Source organism: Homo sapiens, chromosome 16 (assembly GCF_000001405.40).
Source record: "Homo sapiens chromosome 16, GRCh38.p14 Primary Assembly".
NCBI lineage: Eukaryota > Metazoa > Chordata > Mammalia > Primates > Hominidae > Homo > Homo sapiens.
This window is the reverse complement of record NC_000016.10, coordinates 84737628-84764846: the sequence shown is the minus strand read 5'-3', so window position 1 is coordinate 84764846 and position 27219 is coordinate 84737628. Positions and strand designations below refer to the sequence as shown.

Below are 27219 nucleotides of genomic sequence, written 5' to 3'. Positions count from 1 at the left end.
TTTCTTTTTTTTTTCTTGAGACAGAGTCTCACTCTGTCACCCATGCTGGAGTGCAATGGCGCTATCTGGGCCACTGCAACCTCTGCCTCCTGGGTTCAAGCGATTCTCCTGCCTCAGCCTCCCTAATAGCTGGGATTACAGGTGCCTGTCACCACACCTGGTTGATTTTTGTATTTTTAGTAGAGACGGGGTTTCACCATGTTGATCAGGTTGATCTCGAACTTCTAACCTCAGGTGATCCACCCGCCTTGGCCTCCCAAAGTCCTGGGATTACAGGCATGAACCACCGCGTATGGCCAATTAGCTGGCTTTTCTCTTACTCCCTAGCAGTGAGCAGCTGAACTTGACAGAGTAGAAGGGAGGAGCTCCCTGTCCCCTGCAGACATGCGCCAGCAGGGAGAGAATAAGCCACGGGGGCTGACAAGGGAAGCATCAGGAAGTGCAAGAGAAGAGCAGGCAGGGGAGCAAGATGCAAACCATTACGTCCAAGAAGTCTCAAAACAAGCCTCACACCTTCCCCCTTCACCAACATGGCAAAACCCTAGAAAAGGCAAATATTAAGTTATTCCAGAAAAGCACAAACCTGATGTGTCCACCAAAAATGCCGGTGATTGGAGTCTGAACAAAATCCGCCTGGCGGGTGACGGAAGTCTTGTTCCGGGGGCCCACTTGTTCCCATTCATCCTCGCTTCCTTCACCTTGTTCTTCCTGCTCTTCTTCATTGACCGAGTGGTTTTTGGGGCCGTTGGAAATCGTAAGTTCTGAAAAGGAGAGCATCTGCTTACACTACTATTTACGACAAGAACAGCAAAAAAAAAAAAGGCACAGATCTGTCGATTGCAGTTTTAAAAATGAAATCAGGGTGTGGTCTACATTAGGAGCCACGGCAACCAATCGCAACAGGAGCAACGTCACTGGATCCACGGCCAATCGCAACAGGCACAATGTCACTGGATCCACGGCAACCAATCGCAACAGGTGCAACGTCACTGGATCCATGGCAACCAATCCCAACAGGCACAACGTCACTGGATCCACGGCAACCAATCGCAACAGGTGCAACGTCACTGGATCCACGGCAACCAATCACAACAGGCGCAATGCCACTGGATCCACTGCAACCCATTGCAATGCCACTTGATCCACGGCAACCAATCGCAACAGGTGCACCACCACTGGATCCTTGTTTACATAAACTCCTAGAAATGACATCCCTGGGACAACTGGCGAAATTTGAAGATGCTCTGCAAAGTCGGTATTACCGTGTCATTACAGTTGTTTTTCTCAGTTAGATAAGGGACTGTGGTTACGCAGGAGATGCTTTAGCACCTGAGATGAACTAAACTGTTAGCTGCAACTTAACTTTGAATCATTCAGGGAAAATGTATGCGTATGTATGTATATATGGATGGACAGATAAGACATATATATATATACACAGTGTGTGTATAGCATCAGAAAATATGTTTAAAACTGTACACTCGGCAATTATAAAGGTATTCATCAAACGATTCTTTCAGCTTTTTTATAGGCTTGATCATTTTCCTAATTAAAAGTTAAAGGAAAATGGCAGAGGTTCGGGATAAACTGTAATTTACCTAAATATAACCTTCTCGATGGTGTAAGTTATCGTAGGGAATAAATGCTATTTGAAAGGAAAACGACTGAGGGGCAGGGAAGCAACATAACATATGAGTATGCAACACCTGTTTACAGCGAACTCTTGCACAACTCTGCGGCAAGTGGACCATAACCTACTTTCATTACTTGGTGAGAGAAGCTTCTTTAGGTTCAACATTTCCTCATGAAGTCCATTTAGAATGAAGCCTAAGTATTCCTCAGCATCTTCTTGTCGACCCTGAAAAGGTCAAATATAATCACGTTACTGTGAACTGATCACTGTCAAAGGCCTGCAGGACATGCAGTACTTGCAAAGTCCAACCATGCCTCCTCTGAAATGGAAGATGTAAAGTATTTCCAAACAATGACATGATGACATGGGTTTCCCTTGCATAGCTGAAATCCCAAGAGTAGGAGGAAAAGGAGAAACTGACTAAACACATATCTCTAAATGGGTGGACTAATGGGGATTTTTATTATTTATACTTTCTGTATTTTTGAAATTTTCTTCAATAAATATACTTTTTTTTTTTTTTGAGACAAAGTCTCATTCCGTCACCCAGGCTGGAGTGCAGTGGTGCAATCTCAGCTCAGTGCAACCTCCAGCTCCCGGGTTCAAGCGATTCTCCTGCCTCAGCCTCCCGAGTAGCTGGGACTCCAGGTGTGTGCCACCATGCCTGGCTAATCTTTGTATTTTTAGTAGAGACGGGGTTTCACCATGTCGGCCAGGCTGGTCTCAAACTCCTGACCTCAGGTGACCTGCCTGCCTTGGCTTCCCAAAGTGCTGGGATTACAGGCATGAGCCACCACACCTGGCCACATTACCTTTATCACAAAAAAGTTATTTAAAAAAAAGTTTCTGTCTTGGGTAAACAAAATAGAAGACGAAGAACTAGATGTCTAGGGCCAGTTCACTGTTCAACTGCAAGGGTCACCACTCGAGCAATGAGCTAAGCAGCCCTATGTCTGCTTCTGTCTGTCTTTGATGATGGACAACTACATGGGAAAGAACTCAAACTACATGTGGAAAAACTCCACTGATTTAGAGCGTTAGCTGTGTTACACATACATCAGCAAAATCATTCACAGACGAGTCACCCAAGAGTTTAATAATCCCACATCACGAGTGTTTGATTCTGTTACTTATCATCAGTTCATATTTCATTCTTCACAGCACAACTGCCTATTCCAAGGCCCTGCAAATTGTTCTGTTTGAAGCATCTAGGTAAACTGCAAAGTTTACTTGCCCTCTCCAGATAGTAGACGTGGACAGCAGCTGTTCACGTGAGTGCATGCTCTGCACGTGTGCAGAAAAGGGCAAAAACTGGCACAGCCAAAGTGTGCTGAAGACTTTTCATAGCAGGCCTGGGTGGCTCTCCTTGGAAAGGCCTGCTTGCAAGGTTGCCCCTTGGCTGGTGTCTGGGAATTTGGATTTCAGAAAGGTTCCCATCGGTCCAATAACTGATACGGGATTCTGCCTAAACCGTTTGCGCAAGCAATGTGCTTTCTGCTGAACACTTTGCTTTTGTTTTGGGAGTTTGGACTTTTGGTTCAAGCCAGGCAGATGGTACCTATGGGACCAGCCCTCAGTAAAAACTCTGGACACGGAGTCTGTAATGACCTTCCCTGGTTGGCAGCATTTCACGTGTGGTCACAGTCTGGTGCTGGAGTAGTTACGCGTAGCCTTGTGGCCCCACTGGGAGAGGAGTCTGGAAGTTTCCTTTAGGCCCTGCCTCACCTGTCCTTTCCCTTCCTGACTCTGCTCCGCATGCTTTTGCTGTCAGCAACCATAGCCACGGGTATACCAGCTTCTGCATTTTCTGAGTTCTTCCAGTGAATCACCCAACCTCAGGGTGGTCTTGGGGAGCCCAACACATCCCCTATTAATGTAACCTTTAGAAGATGCTTTTGTTCATAGCATTATCTCTGTGCACGATCCAAGAGGGGTTCCTGAGCACCCACTTTATTTTGCCTCCACCTGTGCTAGGTGGGCCCCTCTGGGTTCTAAGGCATCTCTGTATCTTTGTGCTTCTCTTGTTGACTATTCATTAACTCATTCCCTCACTGAGGGCAGAGGGCGCACTTCATTCCATTTCTGCATCCCTAACACCATGTTCCCATTACTTGGGAAGTGCAAATTCCAAGCCAATACCAAAAGCTGCATTATAAGCATTTAAAAAGCTTAAGACCCTATGCTACCCCTGGTGGTATCCTGCAACGATGCCCTCGACATTCACTCTTCTTCAAAGCAATGAAGCTTCAAGTAAACTTGACTTAAATGGCATTTTCTCAACTATTTTTCTCTCTGAATACATTTCCCTAAGCATCATTTCAACTGCTTGTACTGATTCATCACAAACTCAATCTGGGAGGAAAGAAATGCTCCAGTTAACGGTGCTAAGGGCGGCCCAAGTCACTCTCAACAGCCCCAGGGCCTTTTATAAGGGCTCCCTGGCCCCTTGGTCTCATGCCTTTAGTAACAAAGTATGTGATTAAAAAAAAATTAGGTAAAGGAATCAAGTACATCAAATAGCTACTAAAGCCTGTAAGTATGATGAAGACATAAGCTCTTCTGAATACTGCCATCATTCCAGGCCCAGTGCACTCCATTCTACCCCAGTGGCATATAGTGCAGTGGTTAAGAGAACTGACTTGAAAGCTGGGTTCTGCCATGTACATTAGCTACCTGACCTCAGACAGTGGCTTCACTTCTCTTAACCGTAACAAGGAGACCATAATCATACTTTATTCAGAGTCAACTAAGTTAATATATGTAAAGTACTGAGAGCAGTGCTTGGTGCACCATATCATCCAAGCAATGGACTCTTATAAACCTACATCTACTTATAGCGCTGGAGACAGAGGGCAAATATCAATAAGCAACAGTTACCACACAAACACTGGAACAAAAGGCAACACTTGATACTAGTGACAACAGAGAAGTCTCAAACCTTTTCAGACAGGCTTGACTTGTTAACTGTCAGGAGTCTGTAAATATATGTGGGCTCAAAGGCAGCTCCAGGGCGAATATCCCTCACGATTTTATCTCCAAGAGCTGCAATGGAAAGAGGACACAGGTTTTCCTAACTACAATGAACTCATAAATGATGAAAAAAGCAACATCATCAAAACTCCCCCACCTCCCACCTGGCTGAATGTTGAGAATGGCATAGGTGTAAAGACACTATCTTCCCAACAAGACTGAATTTACCAAATTTAAGTCATCTGTCTCCATAACTCCCAATATGTAATAGCATCAACAAAACTCATTTTTACTAACCTTGTCGGGGTTTTGGAGGTACTGGCATATTAGTGAACTCATTCATTAGCCGAACACTAAACATGGGGAAAAAATGTTAAATAGTGCAGTTTTAAACAATATATACTTTTACTAAAGAGCTTTGATGGCTAAGTAGAATATCAGCTATACGAGTATAGTAGATTTTAGGTAACCAATGCTGTAACAGCTAGTGAACTCAAGTCTCTTCTATATGCATTTTTGGTCTATTTCAAGTGATATATGCTGGTAAACGCTAAAATATTTTCTACTGAATCTAAAGAACACAGATCATCAATGCTCCAATTCCATTTCTGGTTAACTTCCATATAAAATCGCCAACAGTCTATTTTTAAAAAAAGACAGAATTATAGGACTCATTTGCAGGAAATCAAGAGCTTTACTAAACTATTTCAATTCTAATTATCAGACGGGAAAAACCCCACCACTTAACACATCTTTCACCACCTTACTTACAAGCTGTCTATCATGGGTGTTGACGTACAAGGCCTTTGCACTTTGGAATACAGAGGAATGAACTTCATCAGGTGGTACATCGGCGGGCAAGCAACCAATGCCTGCAGTGTCTATGTAGTGGCAGTAAGGAAGCGTAAAGGAAATGAACAGACACACCACATTTCCTGAAGGCACATGAAGCACAAGAATGTTTATAAAAACACAAGGAAGCTAAGGACGTTGAACTACTTAGATATGTCACCACGAAAAGGAATAAACCAAATAGTTACTAGGGTAAGTGTCCTGTGATGTCCATATAAGGATCTACGAAGCAGTCAGTCGTTTGTATTCAAGAACTTGACCTAACCAAGACAGTTCAATCAGTTAAAACCAAATTTCCAGTTGTAAGTGGTTGCTCTGCCCTATTATTTGTGACTATTCTAATGAGAGCCAGCTTGTCTGCAGCCCTCATTCACGTGCCAACATATCCTCTCTTTTAGAGGGAGATGGACTGGGGTCAGGAATAATCCTGTTTATAAGCAAGGTAGGCAGACCAAGTAATAAACCAGACTTAGGGATTCAAATGGAGAGCTAGATGGCCCACGGAAGCTGAGCTAAGTCACATGCACCCAAAGGAGGGACAGCTGCAACAAGCTGGCCTTGCGGACGGCGTCCAGGAAGGATACAGCATTAATGTAGCACCAGTTCCCTTTATTGATCAGCCCACGGGGTTGCAACGACACTGGTTTATGGATTAGGGTTACATTCTCCAGCAACTCTGAAAGAGTGAAGAAGCATATTTCAGAAATTGATGACATCTAGTGAAGAACATTCAAATCATTTCACATGCTCTACTCTGGGACAGCATTTAAAATCCCTTCAGTAAAACACACAGCCAAAGAAAATGCATACTGTTAAGGCTTCATTCAGTTCAACATCAAGTACATTATTCAATTAGAACATTTTTGAAACTAATCTTTTCCCTCAAATAGCAACATTTAATCTTCCTGGGGGGAACAGAATTAGGGAACACAAGAACTACCTATTTTAATGAGAAACAAAAAAATGTTAACACAGTATCATTATTAGAGAATAGATTTGAGAGATACAGCCTTTCTTCCTTAAACACCATTAGCCAGGTGTGTCTCATCAGCAGCAAGGCGCCTCAGACACTAGATAGAAAGATATCTTGCAGAACCCACGTCTCATTCCTCTCTGCATCCCCAGCATCTAATGCTGACCCTACACATCACTGTGTGTGTTCAATGGCTGTTCAGTGAGTAAAAATACTCCTTTCAGAGACAGCGGTCTCCTACAAATTAAACCGTCCACTAGAAATCCAATTTAGCAACTGTTTTATAAACTGTAATTCCCTTATTCCATTTACAAACACGCTGCTCAGCCTCAGGTTCACCCTGAGTGGACATCACTCTTTCTGTGTATTAAAACAGCTGTGAATGCCATCTTTATAGAATTAACCATCAGAAATGCTTGAAAACAAGACAAGGTCTCCCCCTGTCCCACTATGAATCTTCTAATGGTGATGGCTACAATTTATAAACCCTTCTACACTTAGCACGTTCTTTACAATTGACAAATGTTAATTGGCTGGACTTAATCCTTAGTAATCTAGGAGTACCACCACTTTGACCCTTTCACCAATAAGGAAAATGAGGCTCCCAAAGACTGACTAACTCACCTGTGATCACACAGGAGCCAGGTAGCATAGCCAGGGCCTCAACTCCATAATCTGCAGCCAATCCACACTGTCTCCTTTACTTTTAAATTGTATACTAATCATATAACCCACAAATAGATACACCTACTATGTACCAACAAAAATCAAAAATTCATTTAAAAATAAAGTATAATAAATAAACAAATTGTATATAGGAAAGAAAAACCAAAATGGCATACATACATTTGATAGTAGCATCCATCTAAGGCATCGCTCAAAAATAAGCTTTTCTTTTCTAAACTACATTGTACTGGCAGATCCCAGACTTCGGCACTAATCAAATGAAAAAATTAATTTACAAAATTCAAAACACACACACACACACACACACACACACACACACACACACACACCCCCACCCCTCTCATTCCCTCCTTCCTATGAATAAATGTCCTCTTCCTTCTAACTGAAGAAGCGTAGGGAATAATTTCTGCTAGCTCTTCTTCTGTAGAAAGTAAAATATTACAGATTCTGTGGAATCTGTTTAATTAGACTAAGTTTGCAAAGCTCCTCTCTCTCTTAATATGGAATACCGAACTGGGCCTTGAAATAAATGAATAATGGATCAGTTACGAACTGAACCCCAAGCCTGCATGTGATGACACCCAGCAGAGATAGCACCTGTCATGTGAGGGACACTGTGCTAGAAGCTTTGTGTATATTATTCATAATTATCATAACCCTACTGTCAGAGATAGTTACCAACCCCATTTTACAGATGAGAAAACTGAGGTCACATAACAGCTGAAATGACCTGTGAACCTGGGTCCACCTGACTCAAGAGGTTGAGCCCTTTCCTCAATATATAAGGGGCTTCACTTAAAAATCCCTTTTATTCCAAGGTTTCAGATACTTACTTTTCCCCACAGGCTTAAAGTCTATTGACAGTGGATTTTTACATTTGTCTTTAAACCATATCATCACAACAGTCTATCATTTCTAGTGTGTGCCACAGAACAGCAACTAATGTCATTGCAGTGTTAAAAAGGTGCATTTTCAAATAACCATCAATGACGTAAAGGCATAGTGTCTCAAATGAAAACTCCAGCATGATTCCAACAAGGCTTTGCCATAGTATTTTTATATCAAATGACTTTTTTTTTTAAACCTAACCTTAAGACTCAAAGCCTGCTATCTTTCTAACATAGAAACCTTTGTTTTTTTGAGACAAGTCTTGCTCTGTCACCCAGGCTGGAGTGCAGTGGTGCAATCTTGGCTCACTGCAACCTCTGTGTCCTGGGTTCAAGTGATTTTCCTGCCTCAGCCTCCCATGTAGCTGGGATTACAGACGTGCACCACCACGCCCGGCTAATTTTTGTATTTTTAGGAGAGACAGGATTTCACCATGTTGGCCAGGCTGGTCTTGAACTCCTGAGTTCAAGTGATCCACCTGCCTTGGTCTCCCAAAGTGCTTGGATTACAGGCATGAGCCATGGTGTGTGGCTGAAACCTTTGTTAAATAACATGCTGCCTTTCGCTGAAGGCGAGTAAACCCCTGCTGAGCCCTGCCTAGGCACCGGGTAAGGAAGGCACAGAGATGAATGCAAGGTGGTCCTGCCCTAGGCAAGCTCGCAGACCAGTGAAGGGACGAACTGTGATGTCCCTGGCTCCAAACACACACTGTACAGGCTAAGCTGAAGGGGTGTTGGGAGATGGGGGGCGGGGGGTGGGGAAGGATGCTTAGCCCAATCCAAGGGCTGCAGAAACTCTGGGAAGGTCAGGGGTTGAAGCCACCAAATGGAAGCTGAGGAAGAACAGATATACTAGAAGGTTCTCACTGACTGGGGCAGCAGTGCTATCCAACTAGAGGAGGAATACAACAGATGAGCAGGTTATTTTTTGTTTAGTGTGGTAATGAGCTCAGTTTTAGAGATGTTAGTAAAAGATACCCAGATGACACCAGTAAATCGTATATGTATATTAAAAGACCAGCAAGTGACTGATTTTTTTTTTTTTTTTTGAGACAGTCTCACTCTGCCGCCCAGGCTGGAATGCAGTGGCACCATCCTAGCTCACTCCAACCTCCGCCTCTGGGTCTCAAGCAATTCTTGTGCCTCAGCCTCCCGAGTAGCTGGGACTACAGATGTGTGCCACCATACCCAATCATAATTATTATTTTAAAGACAGGATCTTGCTCTATTACCCAGGCTGGAGTGCAGTGGCGTGATTATGCCTCACTGCAGCCTCGACCTCCTGGGTTCAACAGATTGATAATCACACAAACATACGCACAGGTCCCCAGAGTGCAGGGCTGGAAGGGTAGAGAAGTGAGAAGCACGCAGGGGCAGCGTGTAGGAGTGGGGGCAGCGTGTAGGAGTGAAGACAGCAAGTGCAGGCTGCTCAGCCAGAAGCCGGGCTGAGGAAGGAGACAGGATCATGGGTGCAAGGAGCTAGGGATCCAGGAAGATGCAGCGAAGTTTCTGGGTGGGAGAAGGAGTGAAACAGCAACTTCAGTTTTCTTGACGATACGGAAGGAAAGGTCTTCTAGGGCAGAGTTAGGGCGAAGATGCCAGAGGTGGGTGAGACGGGGCTTGAACATGTTCATTCCTGTTTAGCACTGATACTGGAAGGAAATGAAAGCAGCCACCAGGGCCAGGCATACAAGATCTGCCTGAAACTTCCCTTCGTTGTTGACCCGTTCGAACAGACTCAAAAACACGCTTTATGACGAGGCTAACTCCACTCTTAAAAGGAAAGCATTGCACAGCCATCAAGAACTGGCTGCACTAAGCTCTGTCTGAAAACACAGCTCCTTTTTTTTTTTTTCTGGGACAAAGTCTAGAGACAGGGTTTTGCCACATTGGCCAGGCTGGTCTCGAACTCCTGGCCTCAAGCAATCCGCCTGCCTTGGATTCCCAAAGTGCTGGGATTACAGGTGTGAGCCACTGTGCCTGGCCTCCTTTCATGTTCTTAACTGAGTTAGGGGCCCAGAATAATCTGCATGGCCTGGAGGCTTGACCATTCAATCTCTATGCAATCAAAGGATACATAAATCAACTATAAACCGACTTTTTTCCCAGCATTTATTTGTGAGACAGCATGAACTAGTCAGACAGAAACCTTTAGTTTCTACATCAGCCATTCCCTTAAATCGATACCAGCTTCCAGTTTGCTTATTTTGAGGCGCAGGCAGGTTAAAAAGCAGTTTCAGTTTTTCTTGCACAGTATTAAAATCAAGTCTTCTAGCACCACCCAGTGGTTTGTTCAATAACTGCAAGGAACCTACAAAAGCGAACGAGCACAACCTCTGCAACAGCAGAACATACGTACGGGCCCTTGGGACGTGTACTAGGAAATGTACTCCACCAAGCTTTCCTTCAAGCCTTTGACAGTCTTTGAAAGGCCATTCTGGTACGACGTCGTTAAACGCAGAATAAACCTTTTCAGACTTGGAAAATACAGAAGAGACACGAACAACCTAGATTTTTCTTAATGATTATTCTGTTACTGTAGAAAAATTTTATCTAGTGGCAAGTCTTTCATAAACTAAAATACCGTATCATTCTGTTATTAATCTCTTATAATGATCCTAAATCCTAATCTCAGAGTAAGACCGACAGAAGGCACTCAAGATTCTCCACACTGTCTCCACAGTAGCTGACCTCATCACTGCCTACCTGATATTAGTGCTGTGTGCCTCCTTCTCTGGACAGGAGGCTCCTTAAAGACAAGACTCTCACACTTCAACTGCTCAACAAAGTCCGCACCATCTAAGGTAACAGGACTTGGTGGCCTTTTGTGTCCTCAGCCTGTTACTGCCATCCCTACTAGCTGCATGAGGCCTCCCCTCCTTGCTTTCTCCCCTCAACACCCCTCTGCCAATGATCACTTCTCCCTACAAACAGCTGCCATCTGTTCCTTTCTGATCTTATGCCTTAGACTACCCTGAAGGCAAGGCCAATCATTACTCCAACTAGACAGTGCATGGCATACAGTAAGTTCTCATTAGACAGTAATACAGGATCAATTAAACATCTGGAGATTAAAGTTGTTGGTTACGGCAAATGACTCCACTCATATTTGTTAGAAATGACTCAACAGACTTTAAAGGTCATTTAGCTCCTGGTCCAGAAAGTCTAAATGACAGCTCCTGAGAAGACGCACAGTAAAGGGCAAGGGCCCAGGCACACAAACCAGGAAGACGGGGGTTCGCGCCCTGGCTCTGCCACTTCATTCATTGTGCGGCAGATCACTCCGCACCTGGAACAGGTAAGGAGCTGCACCACGCTCAGCTATAGCAAAGATGAGCACGCATGTAAATACATAAGCAGACCACTCCCGGCATGACGGCCAGCTCAATACAGACATCAGAATCCCCCCTAGAAAATAAAGAGCTAATAGAGGTGGAAGGAGAAGGGAAAAGCAAATGAATTTATGTGAGAGTCTGAGAAAACCAACAACTTTCAGCATCCCAAGAGGAAATGTTAGCCCAACTTCCTTAAAATCTTGACAAGTTTTAAACATCTTGACATATTAAAGATATATTAATAAAGTTCTATTTCAGGCAACACTTTGGGAGGCTATGGCAGGAAGATCACTTGAGTCCAGGAGTTCCAAGATCAGCCTGGGCCACACAGTGAGACTCTGTTGCTATGAAAAATAAAAAATAAAAAATAAAAAAATTAGCTGTACATGGTGGTGCCTGCCTATAGTCCCAACTACTCAGGAAGCTGGGGCAGGAAGACCACCTGCGCCTGAGAGATCAAGGCTGCAGTGAGCTATGATCATGCCACAGCACTCCAGCCTGAATGAATGAGCAAGACCCTGTTTCTTAAGAAAAAAAAAATACGTTTTTAAAAAATAAAGCTCCATTTTAAGAGGAATGATTGTAAGAAATGAAGATTAAATACTTATTGTCAAAGATTTTCTCTTAAGATCCAAACACTCAAGAAACATTTAAGGTCCACTTTTGTAACATCTCACACGTACACTAAGCCTTCCATCCTGACTCATTTCGATAACCATCAACTGGAGGAGACACTAACGCTTTATGAAGTTCGTGAGCTCCTCTTCTTCCTCGCAGTGAAAAAAACAGGGGTGCAAAAGCAGTTCTAATTCCTCCTAAGACCAGACCGAATTATGTTCAAGTGAATGAATCCTATTGTTATCATGCAAAAGTCAGGTCTTACGGACAAGCCAGAACTAATACCACTTCCAAATTTCTAATATCACTCTTCGCTCTATTTAAATTCCTCTTTCAACATCAACATTTTCATTTACAATGTTATTCCTAGCCTAAAGTCCAATACGCATTCCAATTATGGAGGCTAAAAGAATAAAAATGAGGAAGGCGGGCCACCAAGGATAGAGGGCAGGCAACTTCTAGGTTGAAACTTGACCTGCATTCCAAAGTCATTGCCATTGGTGTATCTATTTTACCTTCTTTAAGGGCATATAATAGAAGTTGGCTCTAATAACAAACTTTCCCCAGAAGCCTTCTTTTCAATTCATCATGGTTGGTATAATTTACTACTTAACTGTTCAGACAGCAACTTTAGGAAGATGGCCTCCCCCAGTCCATCTTTGTCACAGGAGTTGGTGGGGCTGCCTAGAACAATGTGTGAGAAAAGGCACAAAATGCCAGAATGACTCATAAAAGACACAAAATTGAAACCTGTAGTTCACTTTTGTAATAACTCACATGAAAAGGCTGAACTGAAATTTCACTCTTATGAAATCTGCTGACATACAGAAAAATGGAGTTGCTTAATAGCCTTTTTTCAAATTTTAAGACATACATGCTAGATGGTAGCTCACAAGGGCTGCCACAAATCAGCCCACTGAAATTGTTTATCAACTCAAAGGCAATACCAGCATCGTAAACTTTTATGTCATCATAAGCTATGATTATTCTTACACATATTTTACACATCAAATTCTGTTTTCCTAAAATTAGGACTTAGGGGTCATATTAACATTGAAAATCCCTGAAAATGCAAGGTACAGAACTCTGATTCTTAGGGCTCAATAACTGGCCCGTAATCGACATTCTGGTGTTGTTGACCTGCTTTTCTGTCATCATTCTAACTGTCCAGAACATTCTCCAAGTGCTTTTCTTTTCCTCATTACCATCAATTTGGAAGAACACACACTATCTTGGTTATCTAACCAGGTGGAGGACAGCAAAGTGACCAAAATGTACCACTACCCATTGACTACAGATCAACTTATGTTTCTGAAGTGGAAAGATGTATAATAAATGTGAGGCTACAAACATCGAATCAGATGTGGACTAAACTCTCAGTCCACAAGGGTGGATCCCGGTAAACAGGTGCCACGCCTTTTTAACTTAGATCACGCCGCATGACCACTGCCTGTGTACTTCAGAGTTTGAAGAGGAAGTGCAAAATATCTGAGAAACCATTTCCCCCAAGGAGCGGGGGGAAATATATGCATGATTTATAAACTGCCAAAATAAAGATCAGTTTTAGGATACACAGCCATGCTTAATGATGGGGATATGTTCTGAGAAATGTGGCATTAGGCAATTTTGTCATTGTGGGATCACATGCCTAGATGGTATAGCCAACTACACACCTGGGCCATATGCTAGAGCCTATTGCTCCTAAGCTACAAACCCGTACAGCATGTTGTGTACTGAATACCGTAGGCAACTGTAACACAACTCACTGGTCACTAGAAATTGTTTAGCTCCATTATAATCTTATGGGACCACTGTCGTACATGCGGTCTGTTGTTGACTGAAACATCATTAAAGCAGCACATAACTGTATGTTCATTTACACTTAAATAAACACGGACAGGGTAATTCATTAGAGAAGACCCAAATTGTAATAACTTTGTTTCTTGATCCAATGCCTTTTAGGTATAAAACCACTGTGAAAAATCATATAAACAGGTTTTGACTAACAATTCATAATAAATGACATTGCTAGATACCTCAACGCAATGTTTTCAGAGCTGTTCAAGAGCTCAGTTTTCCTAGTTCTCTCTCACTGGAATTTTAACTTATCGGGCAGTTGGCCACTCTTCTTACCCAGCATTATTTATATTCTGTTAAAACAAAATATACTGTTGCATAATTTTGAAAGCAAAACATCAAATACAAAATGGCTCTATTTGTGATGTGAAAGCATCTGATACAATTTCGTCTAGTATATGAGGAATGTTCCTTAGTAAAGACCCAGGAAAAGTACAATGTTCAATGAAAGCATACGTTCAATTTCAAACGTCACATGTTCGTCAACTCCAAAGTATCTGTGCTAATGAGGGAAGCAGCAGCAAAGGCACTCCCCACGTGTCTGCCATACTCACTCTTAACAAGGGTGTCGCGTTTTGCAACTACTTTCAAACACAAGCTATTAAGTTTTGGGTTTTTTTTTTTTTTTTTGAGACAGTCTCACTCTGTGGCCCAGGCTGGAGTGCAGTGGCACGATCTGGGCTCACTGAACCTCCACCTCCCCGGTTCAAGCTATTCTCCTGACACAGCCTCCTCAGTAGCTAGGATTACAGCCATGAGCCACCACGTCCATCTAATTTTTTTATTTTTAGTAAAGATGGGATTTCCCTATGTTGGCCAGGCTGGTCTTGAACTCCTGGCCTCAAGGGATCCACCCACCTCAACCTCCGAAAGTGCTGGGATTACAGGCGTGAGCCACTGTGCCGGGCTGTATTAAGTTTCCTTTTGTTGACTCCTACTGATAAATGGCAACCATCTCCTCTCAGACCAGTCACTGAAACACAGATCCCTCTCCAACCCTCGGCAAGACAGGGCTTTTGTGTTTAGATACATCCTTCCCTTGGGGCTAAAGGAAATCACTGAGTATTCAGTTCACACGCTCTCCCCTGGCGTGTCCTTCTCCTTTCAAATAACAGTTCACACTTGAAAAACAGCCAATGGAACAAAATGTTGACACATAACCTACACCGAGGAGATGGCCTTGCCACCAAGAAGGTCCAAGTAGAACCCGTTAAAGTGGATAGTTTAAGAGTAATCAAGAGTTTAATGTATTTCACTTCAAAATCCCTTATACGTGATTCTTTTAGTCCATCTGCCTTCTTAATTTCACTTCTGATGGCATAAAAACTAGCTGGCATTTATTAAGCAGACTTAACAATAGGGGAAATAGTCCAGAAATGTGAGTATTTGAAACAAACTTGAGATAAAAAATACACAAATTATTCCAAGCATTTTGTGTGTGTATAATTTTTTTTTTTTTTAAAGATGGGGTCTCAGTATGTTGCCCAGGCTGGCCTCGAACTCCCGGGCTCAAGTTATCGAGCCTCAAGCCTCAATCTCCACACTATCATGCCTGGCAGAAAGGAATACATTTAATGTCTAAATCATTCCCTACTCCCTCTTTCCCAAAAGTTAATAACACAAATACCACTGTCTCAGTAGAAACAGTTAGATACTAATGCAAGTCAAACTCTATTATAACCCACATCAACAGATCTTTTAATGAAACTAGACTTTCACTCAGTTAAACGCTGCTTAAAATAAGTGGGCCTACACTTAAAAGTGTGCCCACTAAAGGGAATTTGTGGTAGTGGATCTGACTTGTAACAAACTGAGTATGTTTTACCACTTTTATAAAGTAAATCCCTAAGTAGGAGAATAAAACAACAAAAAAAATTTCAAACAATGCCATTCTCCCTAAGCCCTATATGATCCCAAGGGTTATTCAATGTGACTCTATTGCTCTACTATCTCACGAGACTCCTGAAACTGTCAACAACTACGTTCTGTCTATCGAAGCCTCAACAAACAGGCTGAAAAGAATTATATATTTTTAAAGAAACTACACTTTTGCTCAGAAAATTAAAACATCTTCATAACTGACCTAACCAAATAGGATTAAAAAAATAATCTGTTTGGTAGGGGTTTACAATATGTCCACACAAAAATAATTACGTGGACTGTGTGTGGCAAGGCTTTCCTCTACTACCAGTCATTAAGAGGCCCTTACTTTCAGTGTTTGACAAAGCTACTTCAATTAGACTTTAACATATACAGAACATAACAAACTATTTATCAAACTATATTTAAAGTCATATGACTAAGTAGAATGTTCTAAAACATTTTAAATGAAGCTTTTCTTGGTTATTTTAAATAAAGATAGAGAAAATCTCCCTAAGATGGGAGGTTTTCCTTTGTGGAGCAATTTTAGAAACGAAACTATAATATTCTCAGCTGGGCGCGGTGGCTCACGCCTGTAATCTCAGCACTTTGAGAGGCTGAGGCAGGAGGATCACTTGAGGTCAGGAGCTCAAGACCAGCCTGGCCAACATGGTGAAACTCGGTCTCTACTAAAAATACAAAAATTAGCCTGGCGTGGTGCCAGGCACCTGTAGTCCCAGCTACTAGGGAGGCTGAGGCAGGAGAATTGCCTGAACCCAGGAGGAGAAGGTTGCAGTGAGCCGAGATTGCGCCACTGCATTCCGGCCTGGGCGACAGAGTGAGACCCCCTCTCAAAAATAAAGAAAAGAAAATAAAATTCTCATGACTTCGAACTTAGAATGCACATTTTTAACAGGACCCCACCATGCATTTCTCATTATAGGTTAAAAATAAACTTTTAACTTAGTAATCTATATAAAGGCTTACACAATCTATCTTTTTTTTTTTTTTTTTTTTTTTTGAGATGGAGTCTGGCTCTGTCGCCCAGGCTGGAGTGCACTGGCGCCATCTCGGCTCACTGCAAGCTCCGCCTCCCAGGTTCACGCCATTCTCCTGTCTCAGCCTCCTGAGTAGCTGGGACTACAGGCGCCCGCCACCACGCCTGGCTGATTTTTAGGTTTTTTTTAGTAGAGACGGGGTTTCACCGTGTTAGCCAGGATGGTCTCGATCTCCTGACCTTGTCATCCACCTACAGTATCAGTCCTTGCAATAAATACATTCTGAAAGCTGTATTCAAGAAATCGCCTGGCCTGAGTGCGGTGGCCCACACCTGGAATCCCAACACTTTGGGAGGCTGAAGCGAGCAGATCACTTGAGGTCAGGAGTTTGAGGCCAGCCTGGGCAGCATGGTGAAACCCCATTTCTACTAAAAATACAAAAAAAGATAGCCAGACATTGTGGCATGTGCCTGTAATCCCAGCTACTTGGGAGGCCGAGGCAGGAGAATCACTTGAACCCAGGAGGCGGAGGTTGTAGTGAGCCAAGATCGTGCCTCCTGCACTACAGCCTGAGCAACAGAGTGAGACTGCATCTCAAAAAAAAAAAAAAAAAAAAAAAAAATCACCTGGCTTTAAAAAATATATATGAAGCCCAAAATAACGACGTCTGGCCTATCATTTGCTCATTTAAGAGAACTTCAGAACAACAAGAGTACCTGAGATAATGTATTTTGTATAAGGAATAAAATACTCTTAAAAATATATATACATTGCTTGCTATCACCCTATTGCCACCCAAAGAATGTGTTTTATTTTTTACACAATTCTGACCATCCATCGAAGGGTGTGCATTTGGCAGCTTGCTGCTACATCCTGGTAATGAAGGGTGTCAGGTGTTCCAAAAGGTCACATCAGAAAGTATTACAGAAAGCCTAAACCAAACAGCTTATTTTAACTTGGCTACTAGGGTGACAATCTGAAGATCTGGTCACCAGGCTTGGTGGAATCCAACCTGATGACACAGCTTCTGCTTCTTAGGTACGTACAGTCACGCGCGGCGTAACATTTCGGTCAACAATGAGCCGCACGTATGATGGTCCCACAAGATTCTAGTGGAACTGAAACGTCCTGCCGCCTAGTGGCGTCTTGATGCTCCTGACCCTGTGCAGGCCCAGGCTAATGTTTGTGTCTTACTTTTTAAGTTTAAAAAGTTAAAAACAATTTTTAATATGAAAAAGCTTATAGGAAAGTAAGAATAAAAAGGAAGAAAATATTTTTGTATAGCTGTAGTGTGTGTTTTAAGCTAAATGTTCTCATGAAAGAGTCAAAAAGTTTAGAATTTTTAATTTAAAAGTAAAATAAAACGTAAAAAAGTTACAGTAGGTTAAGGTTAATTTCTTATTGAGGAAAAATTTGTAAATCAACGTAGTACAGCCTAAGTGTTGACTGTTTATAAAACTCGGCTTTGCTCAGTACTGTCCTGGGCCTTCACATTCACTCAGCACTCATCACTGACCCATCCAGAGCCACTCCAGTCTTGCAAGCTCCATTCACGGTGAGTGCTCTATACAGGTGAAGCACTTTTCATCCTTTATACCATATCTGTACTATATTTTTTCTATGTCTAAATGTGTTCAGGCACACAAATACTTAGCACTGTGTTACAACTGCCTACAGTATTCAGTAGTAACACGCTGGACAGGTTTGCAGCCCGGGAGTAATAGGCTGCACCACCAGCCTAAGGCTCTACCACCTGTATTTGTGTAGTACTCTCTGATGTTAACACGCACATCTCGGAACACATATCCATCTTAGTTAAGCAACACGTGGCTATGTGAGGACACATACCTCTTTCATACCCTGCTGCATTTCTGACTTCCTACTGTAACTTTTTAAAAACAATCTGTGAATTATGCAGCTTTCTATTTTTATTGTGAATTGTTTCTACTTTGGAGCCTTAGCACTCTAAAATAAAACATTAACTTTGGGCTGAACCCTTAACATTTTTTTTCTCTTCAAGAGCTGACCTTGGTGTATCAAAATTCTGAATAAAATCCATTTACTCAATCCAAAAAAAAAAAACCATGTTATTTCACAAAATGATTTCTTGTATCTTAAGAAATATAAAAAAGGAGCACACAGTGAGTACAAATCAGGATTATCATACCAAAGGTATATCACAGAAAAAGTCCATTATACATTCATACCGTGGAGCAGAATTACTTGAACAAAAGGCAAGAAATGGAAATGTAACTTGTCAACAGAAAAGAACTGCTAACAGACATGGATCTTTCACTTAACATAAAGTTACGACAACCCTCTCCTCCCATTTGTTTCTATATTATCTTACTTTTAGAGAACATTTAAGACATAGGCATCCTTCAGACGTTGCTATTAACACACAGGTAATCTGCCATTGTTATGGGTAACACCACAGTCTATAAGCCCAGTTGATGAGGTCTGCTCCCATCTTCACTCTAGATTTGTATCTTTTCAACTATACCTGCAATCTTTATGGCTACAGGATCCTCTGAAACCGGAACAAGCCCTTCTTTGACTTCAACCTGCTTTTCAGAAACCAGGGGAGATATGGCGGGAGGGGAATACTTAGTTTCCACATAGGCCACCGGCGAGGAGGAAGAGGGCTTAGAATCATGAAAGAGGCTGGCCCAGGACTTGGGCTGGCTGACAGGAAGGGTGCCTGATGCAGAGCCCGTGCCGTCAGCAGGAGGTGATGCACTCTCGGGTTTGGTTGGGTCCAAGTCTATGCTTTCCGTGGTGTGCAACTCCACCCCGTTGGTAGCTGTGCCCTCACCCGAGGATTCAAGTATTTGTCCATTAGCAACTCCAAGGTTTTCAGTAGTATCGGTACCAACGCAGGGCTGAGCCCCAGCTGTCCTTGACAGGGTGTCTCTGCCAGCCTCTGCAGGGAAGCAGGACTGACCAAAATCAGCCCCGGGGCCCCCCTCTGGCTGCCCTGCAGTCCTGGTGTCACTGCCGAGTGCTCCGGGGAAAGGACTGTCAGGCACAATGTCACTGACAGAGTCTGTGGAGTTCTGGGGGCTGTTACAAGTCCTGGGCGTAACTGACGGGGGCATGTCACCCATAAATTCTGCATCCTCTGCACTGACACTGTTCGGGACTGCTGAATTGGCATGGCCATTGACCAGGGCTTCTGTGGAGATACTATCATCGCCACCATCTTTCAAATAGCTGTAATATCCAGGTGGCCGCTTTTTCTTCTTTTTACGCTCCCTTTGTCCAAGACCACCTGAGACACCATCATTTTCCAAAACTTCCGCCTCCACATTAGAACTTCCATCCAAAGCGAGGGCAGAGCCTGGGTACTGGCAGTCGATGGAGCCATAGCTTGCTTCTTTAGTGATACCATCAGGGGTTATTTTGGAAGCTGTACAACCGAGAATAAATTCAGGGGCCTGAGGGTTCAGTGTGCTTGAAATACTGTAGCTGGGGGTTCTCGGCAAAGTGTCACTGGGTTCAATGACTTCATCGACACCAAACTCAATTCTCTGATATTCTTGTCCTGTTTAGAAAGAAAACTATTAGTTAAGAACCCAGTTCTACAAACTCTAAGTACCAGTAATTACTCACTTTCTCTTTGAAAATAAAAACCTTAAGTTCTCTTCCTAATCAACAAATCTATTACGTCCTTTACTTACGCTGAACAATTTGCGGAAAATGAAACAACTATAAAATTATTATTTAATTTGGGGATATGAAAAGCAGAAGCCTGTACTTATCTTTCTAGCTAAGGAAGGCTTTCAGAAGGTAGAAATTAAAATAAATTTGTAATAAAAAGCAAGTAATATTTTGCCAATTTTAAAAATACCCCCCAGTGGAATCTGACTTTCTTATAGCTGCCTTATGCCTGAGATAAAGGAATATGTATTTTGGACAACTTAAATTTTAAAAGATCATGACAACTAACTTAGGGACTTAAAACATGGTTAAATCAGCTTCTGTAGTTAACGTGATTTGATTAATTCCAAAAACATGAACTACGCAAAGAATCCTATACATACTGGATAGGAGAAATTAGAAAGTATAAATTTAAAAACAAAAAAAAAAGATGTCAAAAAAAGATTCAACAACAACAACAACAACAACAAAGAATCCTATATATAAAAGCGCACTTCAGAGCACTCTTCTGAATTCTCTATCTCTTGGTCTCCTCCGCTGGTAACCTTCAATTAAGTCTGAAAAATGGCCCTGACATGAACACATGCAAACGTCCTCTAAATAAATTCACACTGGATTAACCCCATGGGTGGTAAAGCCTTCCAAAAATACCAAAAGAAAAAGTTAGAATTGTGAACTTTTAAATATCTCTTGGGAAGCCTTCAATACTTCCTTCCCAGTTAACCACAATCCACATAATTCATTCCTGCTAAGACAGACGTATTTTTATAGTTTACACCTCTGAAATCAGGTTAAGTTTTAGAATCAATTGTGTCTTTCAACAGAAATCAAGCATCAATGTCACCTTATATTTGATAAAAAGTTACACATTTTGAAGTTAAGGGAAGGACACATGCCTTATATTTCATCTTTAATGCATGAAGATTTCTTCCAGGCTAGCATTAAGGGGCCAATTTTTTTTTCAAGGCATCTATCTTAAGAAAAGAAACTAATACCCAAAGAACGGTGTTCTACTGCGGAGAACTGAATATATTTTACCTTGAAAGGACCCCTAGAAATCTTTTTGTAGAAGAAAAAATACAGACGCTGAGAGGGGCCAGTTACGTGCAAGTGAGTGTGCAGGAGGCTGGAGCTACACAGCCTCCCGAGGCCTCCTGAATCTTCGTATGCTTTAGAATCACAGCCCCCGACTGTGGGGGGTGAAGGGTGGTGGCAGCACAATCCTGCCCCAACAAGAGAAAGTTCCTGGAAAAGAACACTGATGACGATTACACCTAACAGCAAGTTTATGCATGAAGTCACGACCATCTAATTCCTTTGGCTACTATTTATTTTTTGTTTCCTTACTTTGAAAAGAATATCAAGGGGAAATGAATTTATTATCATATGTAGGGGCTGGCTGTTCATTTTGGTTCCATACATCCCCTATTCCCTGATGTTCTGGGGCCGTCAAGGCTCCCCAGATTGAAACGGGTGTGCCTGGGGCGGAAGGCTCCATGTGGAGCCTGCCCTTTGAAGGCTGTGAAATCACATTAGAAACTAGAACGTGTTGTGTCATTCAGCTTATGCAAGACTGATTATTTCTAAGACACAGATGTGCTGTACACATCTCAATTCTCAATCTTATCAGAACATAAAACATTCTAGAATGTGATGTAACGTGAACAGAACCATTTCAGTATGTTATAATTAGTATCAAACATTTACTCAATACCATGTTTGATCATCTCACTAGAAGGCAGATTCCTAGCCAGCACAGTTCCTCTTCTTATGGAGGAACACTCACAATGGACGCCATGTGCCTTGCACCGCATGGCAGAGAGCTCAGAGCCCAATGTGCCAGGCAGACGAAGTGCAGGACGGCCTGCACGCTTGGCTTCAACAACCCAATCAATACATTAGGAAGATGGAAACTCAATACTCAGGTAATGCAGGCAGAGGCTCTTAAAACCACGAATCCTAACACAGCATTTCTCCAAGGCTGCTCACTGCAGTACATGCAGTAGAGAGGACTGGACTACAAGGCAGGGGGCGAGGGAGGGAAATATACAGAGATTAGTGACACAAGGGCCCTGCTCAGAGAGTTCACATTTATTAGGGAGACAAATACAAACAACTGAGAATGAAAACATGGAGGGAGGGGAGAGAAAGCTGTGAATAGCTTTAGAAAAAGGATTCTTCTGGATGCAGGAAACAGTGATCAACTTCTATCAGAAACTAGAGAGGTCAGTGGAACTTGATGGATCACTGAATTGCTAAGGGCAGGGTGAAGGAGTGGTATCTCAAGCTTTAGGAACATCTAAAACAGGCAGTGCTTGAGGTGAAGGACAACCATTCACCTTGATGTGATTATTACTTGTTGTATGCCTGTATGAAAATATCTCATGTACCCCATACATATATACACCTATTATGTACCTACAAAAATTAAAATATAAAAAAATTAAAAAACACAAAAATAGAAAAGGCCGAGATCTAAAAGGGAAGCCACGATGAGGTGCCTCTGCAAAGGGCTTGCTGCAGCTGGAGGTAGTGGGAGGGAGCAGAATAAAGCATCCTAAACCATTCATCCAACAAATGTACTGAGGGCTTACAACATTCCAGATACTACAGGCGCAGTGACAGACACAGAGAAATGGATCCTGCCATCAGCAGCTGAGCAGGCTGGAAAGAGAGGCAGGTCCATGACAGTGCCCACAGGCTCTGTACAGTCGAACAGGCACTGGAAGAGAAACTAATGTCATGGAAACACAAGATACCCAGAAAGGCTGCAGAGAAAAGCAGGCCTGTCACTAACTGTGCAAACTGGTGGCAAGATTCCAGTCGTGTTTTTGGCAGAAAAAAGGCAGGACTTAGAGGGAACAGAGTAAAGAATGGAGAAAAAGGGCCAAGAAGCAGTCACTGAAAAGGGCAGGCAGGCTGGAAGGAGGGAGGGGGAAGCAGAACTCCAGAGGCTGGGGGAGCTGGTGGTGCCCACTGCACAGGGAGGAGGGTGAACTCAAAGAAGTGATGTGCATGGGAACATCATGGGGCATTTGTAAGCACTGGTTCAACATGAGCAGCATGCTCACCACGTGCAAAGCACACAGTGACAGAGGAAGTCCCACTGACTCAGATGTCTGAGAGGTTGACATCAGCCAATTAAAAGGTGGCTCAGGAGGCTGAGCAGCCCGGCTTCCCGGTCCCTCAAGCTTCATTCATTTTATTACTTGTCCTAAGCTATTGTTAGATCTGCTCTTTCCCTTATGGTCTCCCACATTTCTTATAAATCTAAAATTTTAGATATAATCACTCCCTGATGTTACTGGAGATAAAACGTTTGGTTAGTCTTTTCAAGGCTTCTATTGAAGCCTAAATTGTAATTAAAACCCCTTTCATAAGTCTGACCATGCTAACTGAACAGGGAATCCAAACCTCTAACTCTCAAAGAAAAAGTTTGGCATCAGTTTCCTGGAGGCCAGTAAGGGCCTTTAAAGTGATTCAGATTGAAAAATGATCTCGACAAGTTTGAATTGTGCAAGGGCAGCCTGCAATCAATAATTAAACAACCTTGTTGGTATTCCAACGCTGGGTACTTAAGCAATACAAAATCATTGCATCTCCATAAGCACCATCTCTGGCAATCAGCTTAGTGCCTGTGATGGAGACCCAAAAAAGTAACAGACCAGGAGGTGAAGAGTTGACCTGAGTTCCCAAGAGTCAGCGACAGACCAGGACATGAATGTGAACTGCAAGAACAACAGATGCCAGCTGCCCCTTAGTTTACAAAGAACACAGGCTCAGAAGCTAGCTGGCGCTGGAGCCAGCAGGCTGCTTAGCAACAAGACCCAAAGTTCGCTTCAACTCCAGCATGTGCTGATGAAGAGTAACATACCTGTTGCACTCAGAACTGTTAGGAAAAAAAGAACTCAACAACCATTTCCTAAACTAAATCTTACATGGCTGGCACTCCGAAGCACAGGATACGCTTTAAAACCAATTCACTAGTCAAAGTGATTCAGCAATTAAATACATTACAGTTTACAGCAAAAACTTCAAGCTACAAAGAAATGTTTATTCAAATGGGAAACAATGTTTACAGGTAGCCTGCCCACCCAGCACGTATGGCCAAATTCCCTTCAGGGAAATAAGGAGAGAACTAGCTTACCATCAGGTAGTTTATCCACAGCCTGTGTGCCACACAGAACTGTTCCACTGTATGGAGGAAGCTGCACAAGGAATCAGAAAACAAATTTTAATTCAACAAAATGTTAAAACCAACGCTTACCATTTAATTAAGGCAACAATTCATTAAAACTCTTAATCCATACAACTTTGCATGCCGTTACTTCTAGCAGAATAACATACATGAAGAGTCAGTGCAATCTAAATCATCTTCATTTAACGAAAAAAACACAATAGAAATGCTTTCAAATATTTATCACTATTAAACAGATCCGAAAATGAAGCCAAAAGGAATAAAAATGAACTCCAATGGACATGTAAATCAGCTACAATGAAATGCTTATGATACATCCTTCTTTCCACAGGATGTCAGTGACTGACCATCCAGACCACAGACACTTTTGTTTGTGCACTAGCGAAGATGACTCTTCCTGACTGCACCTCTTATTCACGATCACTACATTGCAACACAGCCAGTAGAGGCTGGGACCAGGTCCATGGTCGGAGAGCAGAGGAAAGCGCACTATAAACAAAAAGCCTGGTGACTGCAGCTCCCTTTTTAACACAGTGCCTTAATTAACTACATTAACAGCTAGAAGTCACATTCCTTGTTTGGCAGACAGAAAGCAGAATGGGAACTGTCTGACTTCTTTGTAAAAAGCTGAAAGGTTATCTCAAAAATAACTTAAATTTTTCTTCTTCCTAGCTATTCCATAACATTTATTTAAGAGTTGGAAATGCTTCCAATGGACACATTGGGTGTAAGAAAGTTTAGGAAGGGGCAGGGCATGGTGGCTCATGCCTGTAATCCCAGCAATGAGGGAGGCTGAGGTGGGTGAATCACTTGAGGTCAGGAGTTCTAGACCAGTCTGGCCAACATGGTGAAACCCCATCTCTACTAAAAATACAAAAAATCAGCTGGGCGTGGTGGCAGGCACCTGTAATCCCAGCTACTTGGGAGGCTAAGGCAGGAGAATCGTTTGAACCTGGGGGATGGAGGTTGCAGTGAGCCGAGATCGCGCCACTGCACTCCAGCCTGGGCAATAGAGCAAGACTTTGTCTCAAAAACCAAAACAAAACAAAACAAAAAAAAAACAAACCCTGTCTCTACTAAAAAATACAAAAAATTAGCCGGGCATGGTGGTGGGTGCCTGTAGTCCCAGCTACTCAGGAGGCTGAGGCAGGAGAATGGCGTGAACCCGGGAGGCGGAGCTTGCAGTGAGCCGAGATAGTGCCACTGCACTCCAGCCTGGGCAACAGCACAAGACTCTGTCTCAAAAAAAAAAAAAAGGTTTAGGAAGAAAAGGGGTAAGGTAAGCAGAGAGATAAACTGCTACCTGAGGGCAGAACAAAAGAACAAAAAGACATTCTGGTGCAGCACTTCCCAAAGTCTGTTCACTGCAGTACAAAGGCCAGTGCAGGAACGGCCCTAGGGCCGCAAAGTTCAGAGGCTCCTAGGTAAGTCTCATGCCCAATACTGTATGAGAGCTGCTGCTTGATTGGCTTCCTCAGCTGAGTTCTCCAATGAGATCTCAGCACACCAATTCAATAATCACAGCAATAAAAGCTTCTCTCTGCTAGTAACGCAGTAAGTTCTCTTCCCAGAGAATTATGACAAACAGGAAAACACAGGGCAATTCAAAAGAAGCCAACACCTTCAGGAGTTGACAGCTGCACTTATCTCCACCACCAGGGGGCAACCTAGTACGCATCACGTTGACACCCAGAAGAAAGCATTCTGTATGCTGAGATGGGCTACACTAGCCTTGGCACCCGCAAGGCAAAGACCATTCCACACACCAGCATTGATGCTGGCAGGCACCTGGAGCAGAGAGGTGGGTCTATAAGGGCAGTGGACACAGCGGCCATGTGTGTCTCAGGAAGCCTCCATCTCGTTCAAAACCCTCTGTGGTCAAAGAAGACAGTTTAGAAACTGATACATAGAATGCCCTCTTTTTCTGTTAATGACACTAGGATGCCCCCTGGTGACAGAAAGCTGTGTTATTTTGAGGCATGAAAAGTGTTTTGAATCACTCTATTTTTACACAAAATTTATTGTAACATCAAGAAATCATCTTTTTCTGAGTCAAAACAGTTTCATCACTATTATATCAATGTTCTCTTCACACTTCCCAGTATTCTGTTCTGCTCGGGGAAGAGAGAATGCTGAAGGAAACCTCCAGACCCGAGAGACTGCAGCAGGCTGGGAAGACGCACAATTCAGAGAAGGGACCTCTTCACCCATCCACTTCACAAGGCAGAGAGCTGTTAGAACCCTGCTCACCATCTTCCGGCTGTCCCCTTCCTCAACATTCAACCACGGGGTGTGAACACTCACTCAACTCCCAGCCACTCCCACAACATGCAGAAGAAAACCCCAGCAATCGGGAAAAATACACAGATGACGCTGAGGACAAGCCAAGTGGAGAGGCGGGGCCGGTAATGCCAGGTGGCGCTGACTGAGGGTGGAGAGGCTGGAAAGGCTGGACCAGTGACACCAGGTGGCACTGACTGGGCACTCAGGGTGTGCCAGGCACACATCCTGCTCCTCAACAACTCTGGGGAGGAGGTCCTGTTACTGTGGCCCTCTGACAGATGAGGAAGCCAGGCGACACTGCCAGCTTCAGATGAGGAAGCCAGGTGACAGTGCCAGCAGGTGACACTGCCAGTAAGAGGCACAGCAGGGATCTGGTGAGACGACCACCAGCAAACTCCCAGATGACAC

General features: G+C 43.0%; 1 protein-coding gene across 10 annotated transcripts in view, besides 4 other annotated features; it reads right to left on the bottom strand.

Annotated features, from left to right (window-relative positions):
* Window positions 1–27219, bottom strand: part of USP10 (ubiquitin specific peptidase 10) — a 79923-nt gene that overhangs the window by 15076 nt on the left and 37628 nt on the right. For 8 of the 10 annotated variants that reach the window (NM_001272075.2, XM_047434877.1, XM_017023868.2 and 5 more), the window contains 8 exons: window positions 24478–24538; window positions 19174–20214; window positions 6040–6131; window positions 5375–5484; window positions 4901–4956; window positions 4572–4675; window positions 1759–1858; window positions 584–761 (listed from right to left, as the gene is read on the bottom strand). In NM_001272075.2, coding sequence (NP_001259004.1) covers window positions 584–761; window positions 1759–1858; window positions 4572–4675; window positions 4901–4956; window positions 5375–5484; window positions 6040–6131; window positions 19174–20214; window positions 24478–24538 — 1742 coding nt within the window. The remainder of the gene's footprint in view (window positions 1–583; window positions 762–1758; window positions 1859–4571; window positions 4676–4900; window positions 4957–5374; window positions 5485–6039; window positions 6132–19173; window positions 20215–24477; window positions 24539–27219) is intronic. The other 2 variants (NR_073577.2, NR_073578.2) reach the window with 2 other exon arrangements.
* Window positions 3630–3924: a silencer, noted in NCBI's record as "tiled region #1784; HepG2 Repressive non-DNase unmatched - State 14:Gen5', and K562 Repressive non-DNase unmatched - State 17:Gen3'". NCBI's record gives its function as "represses a minimal TATA promoter and a strong SV40 promoter by Sharpr-MPRA in HepG2 and K562 cells {active_cell/tissue: HepG2 | K562}" and the evidence as "EXISTENCE:reporter gene assay evidence [ECO:0000049][PMID:27701403]".
* Window positions 12556–12635: an enhancer, noted in NCBI's record as "active region_11255". NCBI's record gives its function as "activates an Ori minimal core promoter by ATAC-STARR-seq in GM12878 lymphoblastoid cells {active_cell/tissue: GM12878}" and the evidence as "EXISTENCE:reporter gene assay evidence [ECO:0000049][PMID:35858748]".
* Window positions 24850–25144: a silencer, noted in NCBI's record as "tiled region #6565; HepG2 Repressive non-DNase unmatched - State 25:Art, and K562 Repressive non-DNase unmatched - State 17:Gen3'". NCBI's record gives its function as "represses a minimal TATA promoter and a strong SV40 promoter by Sharpr-MPRA in HepG2 and K562 cells {active_cell/tissue: HepG2 | K562}" and the evidence as "EXISTENCE:reporter gene assay evidence [ECO:0000049][PMID:27701403]".
* Window positions 26106–26155: an enhancer, noted in NCBI's record as "active region_11254". NCBI's record gives its function as "activates an Ori minimal core promoter by ATAC-STARR-seq in GM12878 lymphoblastoid cells {active_cell/tissue: GM12878}" and the evidence as "EXISTENCE:reporter gene assay evidence [ECO:0000049][PMID:35858748]".